Source organism: Homo sapiens, chromosome 5 (assembly GCF_000001405.40).
Source record: "Homo sapiens chromosome 5, GRCh38.p14 Primary Assembly".
Classification (NCBI taxonomy): domain Eukaryota; kingdom Metazoa; phylum Chordata; class Mammalia; order Primates; family Hominidae; genus Homo; species Homo sapiens.
The window spans coordinates 149,454,234-149,461,360 of record NC_000005.10 but is presented as its reverse complement, the minus strand read 5'-3'; the positions used below and the strand labels follow the sequence as shown (position 1 = coordinate 149,461,360).

Genomic DNA, 7,127 nt, shown 5'->3' with positions numbered 1-7,127 from the left:
TGGTGATTACCAGAGACAGCCTCCCAAAGCACTGGGATTAAAGGCATGACCAACTGCTCAGTATTAATGATGGATAGTGCTCTGTCTAGGTCCCAGAGTGAGTCTAGCTCCCAGGTATGGACACATCATGAACAGATAGCACAAGAGAATTAAGCCTATGTTGCTTTAGGCTGCTGAGATCTGGGGATAGTTTGTTACTGCAGCACTGCTTAGTTTATCTTGACTGATACAATGCTTCATAAGTTTGGATCTTCTTGGTGCAGGAGTAATGTACACAAGAATAGACGACCACAACAGACTCCAAGAACTGACCTGATCTTCACTGGGAATTCCCCAAATCAAGGATTATGCTAGATCTCTCAGGCTGAAGACCCTAGCTCCACTGGGAAGGAAGAGTTGGAGGAAGAGGGAGATAAATAGAGGTTAGTTAATGGGTACAAAAATACAATTAGATAGAAGGAGTAAGCTCTAGTGTTCCACAGCACAGTAGAGCCACTATAATTAAAAAGAATTTGGCCAGGTGCAGTGGCTCACGCCTGCAATCCCAACACTTTGGGAGGCCGAGGTGGGCAGATCACCTGAGGTCAGGAGTTTGAGACCAGCCTGGCCAACATGGTGAAACCCGTCTCTACTAAAAATACAAAAAATTAGACGAGACGGGTGTAGTGACAGGCACGTGTAATGCCAGCTACTTGGGAGGCTGAGGCAGGAGAATCGCTTGAACCTGGGAGGCAGAGGTTGCAGTGAGCCAAGATTGTGTCACTACACTCCAGCCTGGGCAACAAGAGCGAAACTCCGTCTCAAAAAAAAAATATATGTATAATTATAGGCAAAAAAAATTTTTTTTTCAGACGGAGTCTCACTCTGTCACCCAGGCTGGAGTGCAGTGGTGCAATCTTGACTCACTGCAACCTCCGCCTCCCGGGTTCAAGCAATTCTCCTGCCTCAGCCTCCCGAGTAGCTGGGACTACAAGCGTGCACCACAATGCCTGGCTAATTTTTGTATTTTTAGTAGAGATGGGGTTTCATCATGTTGGCCAGGCTGGTCTCGAACTCCTGACCTCAGGTGATCCTCCCTCCTTGGCCTCTCAAAGTGCTGGGATTATAGGCGTGAGCCACCGTGCCCAGCCCAGCGGCTGTCTTTCTTCATTTGGTCTTTTCTTTTCTTTTCCTTTTCATGTTAGCAGCAGCAGAACACTTCATATGAGAGGACTCTTGGGCAGTGGCTTCTGTTCTGAGGCCCACTGGAAGCCAGCGCCATCAGGCTTGCCTCATCTCTGTGGCAAGGTTGTGCTTTTTTTTTTTTTTTTCCTCTCGCAATCTCATAGGAATTGCAGAATACCAAGAGAAAGTGGCCCTTCAGAGGGTTTTACTTTTCCTTTATTCCTGTGATTCCTCCCTGCCCTGGACACCTTGCTGGAAGCAACTTCAGAGAGCAGTAAGGCAGCTACCACCCATCAACTCTCAGAAGGCAGCCGGAAAAGGGTGGTCCAGTTGATAGTCTATCTTGAGTTGTTTAAGGAGTTATTTTCTGCCCCAGAATCACAAAGATAATCTCCATTTTACTCTTCTAACTTCGCAACTTTGCCCTCCCACTCAGATTTTTTTTTTTTTTTTTTGAGATGGAGTCTCGCTCTGTCGCCAGGCTGGAGTGCAATGGTGCTATCTTGGGTCACTGCAACTTCCACCTCTTGGGTTTAAGTGATTCTCCTGCCTCAGCCTCCTGAGTAGCTGGGAATACAGGCACACGCCACCACGCTGGGCTAATCTTTGTATTTTTAGTAGAGAAGGGGTTTCACCATGTTGGCCAGGGTGGTCTCAAACTCCTGACCTCAGGTGACCCACCCACCTCAGCCTCCCAAAGTGCTGGGATTACAGGCATGAGCCACCGTGCCCGGCCTCCTACTCAGATCTTTAACCTCTCTGGAGTTTGCCTTTGTGTGGATTAGGTTCAGCCCTCAGGTAGCAAATGAGTTGCCATAGCACCAGCTCCTAAACACTCATGTTTCTTTTTCTTTTTCTTTCTTTCTTTCTTTTTTCTTTTTTTTTTTTCTGAGACAGAGTCTGACTCTGTTGCCCAGGCTGGAGTGTAGTGGTGCAATCTCAGTTTACTGCAACCTCTGCCTCCTGGGTTCAAGCAATTCTCCTGCCTCAGCCTCCCGAGTAGCTGGGATTACAGGCATGCACCACCACGCCTAGCTAATTTTTGTATTTTTAGTAGAGATGGGGTTTTGCCATGTTGGCCAGGCTGGTCTTGAACTCCTGACCTCAGGTGATCCACCTGCCTCGGCCTCCCAAAGGGCTGGGATTTTAGGCATCCCACCACGCCCGGCCAACAGTCACGTTTCTAATAGGCAGAGTGTCTTCCTCTGGCCTGGTGGCTTTGGGCTTGTGTCTGGAATCTGCTGACCAGCAGCTTTCTAAGTCCCCGCCTCAATTTGTAGCTCTGAGAAACAGCCACATGGAGCGGAGAGATCATAGATGTGAATGAAACTGCTCTGTAAATCAGAAGAGGTGCGAGGAGGCTGTGGGTAGATGCTGATGAGGCCAAGCAGGCTCCTGGGAAACAGAGGCAGCACCCAGAGAGCAGAGGCAGCCTGGGAGCCCTGCCCTCCTCTCAGCTCTGTCCCTGCCCCCAGTGACCACCTTGGGAGGTGATACCTCATGTGTGGGAGGGCAGGGCCTCTGTCTCTTCTCAAAGGTGTAACCCAGTGCCAGGGCTATGAGGATGCCCAGGGCTCTGAATAGCTACTTATCTGCCCACTTGATGTGGAGCAAAGCCCTTCTGGGTGCCAGAAAGATGGGGGTTTCCAGGACTCATTGTTCCTGTGTTTTGGCTTATTCCTTAGATGGGGTGTGGTAGGAGAGGCTGGACTCGACAGAAGACCTGGGCCCTGCTCCTCGCTCATCCAGGACTTGAACGGGACCCTTTGCCTCTCTAGGCTTCAGTCCCCCCATGTATAAACTAAGATATTATTTCTGTCCAGTGGTAAAATTCTGAACTCTCTTTCCCACCTCAAATTACAAGAGGTATTTATTGAGTGATTTCTGGGTATGGTGGGGGGAAGCCTCCATACACTTTGTTTGTTTTCTGAGATGAGGGCCTGGCTATGTTGCCCAGGCTGGATTTGAACTCCCAGGCTCAAGTGATCCTTTTGCCTCAGCCTCCTGAATAGCTGGGACTACAGGCACCTGCCACCACACCAAACAACCACTATACACTTTTATCAATTTAGTCCTTACACCTCTAAGAGGTAGCTACTATTGGCAAGTGACAAAGATGGAATTTATGCTTTTGTAGTTTTAAGAATGCATTAGCCAGGTGCAGTGGCTCGCATTTGTAATCCCAGCCCTTTGGGAGGCCGAGGCGGGTGGATCACAAGGTCAGGAGTTCGAGACCAGCCTGGTCAACATGGTGAAACCCCGTCTCTACTAAAAATACAAAAATTAGCCGGGCGTGGTGGCGCATGCCTGTAATCCTAGCTGCTTAGGAGGCTGAGGCAGGAGAATTGCTTGAACCTGGGAGGTGGAGGTTGCAGGGAGCTGAGATCACGCCACTGCACTCCAGCCTGGGCGACAGAGTGAGACTCTGTCTTAGAGAAAAAAAAAAAGAATGCATTGCCCCAGCCCTGTGAGGCCCCCCAGGTCATGGGTCCCTGGCAGTTGACACCTCCTCCACTCCGCTGCCTGATGCCGTGTGCTTACCTGGCCAGTGTCTTCCACCTGCCACCAGGCCCTCCTGAGACCCTCTGATACACTCAGGTGTGGGCTTTACTGAAGGCCTGCCCAGCCTGGGGGATGTGTGTCTGGTGCCGGGACCCTGGCTCGCCAAGCCCTGCACTGGTCAGTCTCTAAGGCAGGTTTCCCAGTCCACAGATATGCTTGTCAGCCTCTGGTGGCTGCTTGGCTTACATTCTGATTTATTGAAAATGCTAGGCTGGGTGTGGTGGCTCACGCCTGTAATCCCAGCACTTTGGGAGGTTGAGGTGGGTTGACTGCTTAAGCCCAGGAGTCCAAGACCAGCCTGGACAGCATAGCAAAAGCCCATCTCTACTAAAAATACACAAAAATTAGCCAGACATGATGGCATGTGCCTGTGGTCACAGCTACCCAGGAGGCTGAGGTGGGAGGATCACCTGAGCCCTGGGAGGTCGAGGGTGCAGTCAGCTGTGATCACACCACTGCACTCCAGCCTGGGTGACAGGGTGACAGAGCAAGACTCTGTCTCGAGGAAAAAAAAAAAAAAGAAGAAGAAAAAGAAAAATGGAAAAATCTGGCAGTACCAGGCCTGTGTTTGCTCATGGAAAAATTCAGTGGGAACTGCAGGCCCTTGGCCTGACTTAGCCCTGTGCTCCTTCTCAGAGCGCCTCTTATCTGCAGTCCCCTTGCCTCATCTCTGTTCTCATTTCTGTTATCTGCCCGCTTCCAGAGGTGGGTGATTTTTTTTACTCCTATGTAGTCTGTATGTCAAAATCAGTCAAATAATTCAAGGGAAGCTCTGCTCACTATGTCCTGCTCTTGTTGATTGACCACTTGAACACATCGTGGCTCTGAGAAGTCCCTTCCTTCCTTCCTTCTTTCCTTCCTTTTTTCCTCCCTTCCTTCCTGCCTCCTTCCTTCCTTCCTTCGTTTCTTTCTTTCCTTCTTTCTCCTTCTTTTCTTTCCCTCTCTCTTTCTTTCTTCTTTTGTTCTTTCTCTCTCTCTCTTTCTTTCTCCTTCCTTCATTTTACCTCTCACCCCCCAACTCTCTCTTTCTTTCTTAAATGGGGTCTTATTCTGTCACCCAGGCTGGAGTACAGTGGTGTGATCACAACTTACTGGAGTCTTGAACTCCTCCTGGGTGATCCTCCTGAGTTGGCCTCTTGCCTCCTTCTCCTGAATAGCTGGGACTACTGGCACATGCCACCATGCCCAGTTCCCTGCTGTTTCTTAAAGCATAGTTGTCCCCATTCGATACAGTGGGTGCCTCCCCAGGGCTGATGCTTTGGTACCTTCTCAGAGCACTGATCAGGTCTCAGTTAGGTGGTGAGGAGTCCCTCTGTGATGTGGGAGAAGCTGCCTGTTCGACTCACAGAAGAGACAGAGATGAAAGGAGATCAAGTGACCAACTTCAAACTCTAAGCCAGTGAGTCAGTGTTCAACCCCAAGCCTTGCCCTTGGCTCAGGCGTCCCCTCACCATATCCTGAGGGTTATACGTAATTAGAACCTGTCCCTGAGGACACTGACCACTGGTTACAGATCCTCCCCGGCTGCGTGTTCTGCTCAGGTGGGGAACGCTGACTCACACCCAGGCCACGCCAGTGGCCAAAACAACCTAGAGATCATTCCCTCGGCCTAGGTCTTTCATGTCAGCTGGAGTAGCTTGGCAGCGGCTTCTGGAGTGCGCTGTTGAGAGCGATTCTGCATCTGTGCTCAGTGAAGGGGAGGGAGTACTACTGTCGACTGGTGATGCTGGCTGTGGGCTGGGAAGCAAGCAGTGGGGGCCTGTGTCTTGAATTGACATCCTGGATCTAGCCTGTGGGTCAGAGGCCCTTCATGGGGTTGAGGGGAGCTCATGAGAGAAAACTGGGCTCTACAGTTTTTGTAAAGGGAGCTGAAGCATGAAGGAGACAGTTGAAGGCATGACCCTCAGGCTACACACAGGCCAAGCCAGCCTCAGTGTGCCTACCAGTCCCATAGCCCCATTCTCAGAGGCTGCCAGGCTGGTGCCACAGAGCCCACCCCGCCCCCCGACCTCCAGCTACAGCTGATTGGACGTGGGTGGGAACCCCATCTATAGGCTGATTCACCAGGCTTTGAGGCAGCCTGGTGGGAAATTAACTGGACAAGTAGATCCTCTTTTCGGGAATGTGAATTCAAGGCAAAGAGTGGAACAGTTGGCAGCAAGAACTGAAGCTGTAAGATGAAAATGGAGAGAGTGAGGAGAGAGGCTGAGTGCGGGTAATGATACACCCTAGAGTGATGAGGCTCCCACCCCAGTTCCTGAAGCTGACATGACCAGCTCCCTGGAGTCACCTTGCGTGAGGGTGTGGGAGGCAAGAAATATAGGCTAGTTTACCAATAATTGTTTCCCCATTACCCATTGAATCTGTTTCTTTTTGTAAAAAAAATCCTTATTTATTTATTTACTTTTTAGTTTTTATTATTATATTTTTTGAGACAGAGTCTCACTCTGTCATCCAGGCTGGAGTGCAATGGCAAGATCTCGGCTCACTGCAATCTCCACCTCCCGGGTTCAAGCAATTCTCTTGCCTTAGCCTCCCAAGTAGCTGGGATTACAGGCGCCCACCACCATGCCTGGCTAATTTTTGTATTTTTAGTAGAGATGGCCTCTCACCATGTTGGCCAGGCTGGTCTTGAGCTCCTGGCCTCAAGTGATCCACCTGCCTTGGCCTCCCAAAGTGCTGGGATAACAGGCATGAACCACTGCCCCCAGGCCTATTTATTTATTTATTTATTTATTTATTTATTTATTTATTTATTTTTTGAGACGGAGTCTTGCTCTGTCACCCAGGCTGGAGTGCAGTGGCACGATCTCGGCTCACTGCAACCTCTGCCTCCCAGGTTTAAGCGATTCTCCTGCCTTGCCTCAGCCTCCCGAGTAGCTGGGACTACAGGCTCGTGCCACCACGCCTGGCTAATTTTTTGTATTTTTAGTAGAGACAGGGTTTCACCATGTTCGCCAGGATGTTCTCGATCTTTGGACCTCATGATCTGCCTGCCTCAGCCTCCCAAAGAGCTGAGATTATAGGCGTGAGCCACTGCACCCAGCCTTATTTACTTTTTTAAAGACAAGTTCTCACTATGTCGCCCAGGCTGGAGTACGGTGGTGAAATCGCAGCTGATTACAGCCCTTGAACTCCTGGGCTTAAGTGATCCTCCTGCCTCAGCCTCCCAAGTAGCTAGGACTATGGTCTTGTGCCACCACACCCAGCTAAATTTACTTATTGTAGAGACAGGGGTTTTGCTCTTTTGCCTAGGCTGGTCTCAAACTCCTGGGCTCAAGGGATCCTCCTGACTCAGCCTCCCAAATAGCTAGGAATACAGGTTTGAGTCACAGCACCTGGCCACTTGAATCTATTTCTGGCCAAAGAGATTTTTCCTGTGCCGAGGGCTGGGGCCTGCT

General features: G+C 50.2%; 1 annotated feature.

Annotated features, from left to right (window-relative positions):
* Window positions 3,298-3,798: an enhancer, noted in NCBI's record as "H3K4me1 hESC enhancer chr5:148837126-148837626 (GRCh37/hg19 assembly coordinates)". NCBI's record gives its function as "activates a minimal SCP1, AML or CMV promoter by ChIP-STARR-seq in primed H9 embryonic stem cells {active_cell/tissue: H9 hESC(primed)}" and the evidence as "EXISTENCE:reporter gene assay evidence [ECO:0000049][PMID:30033119]".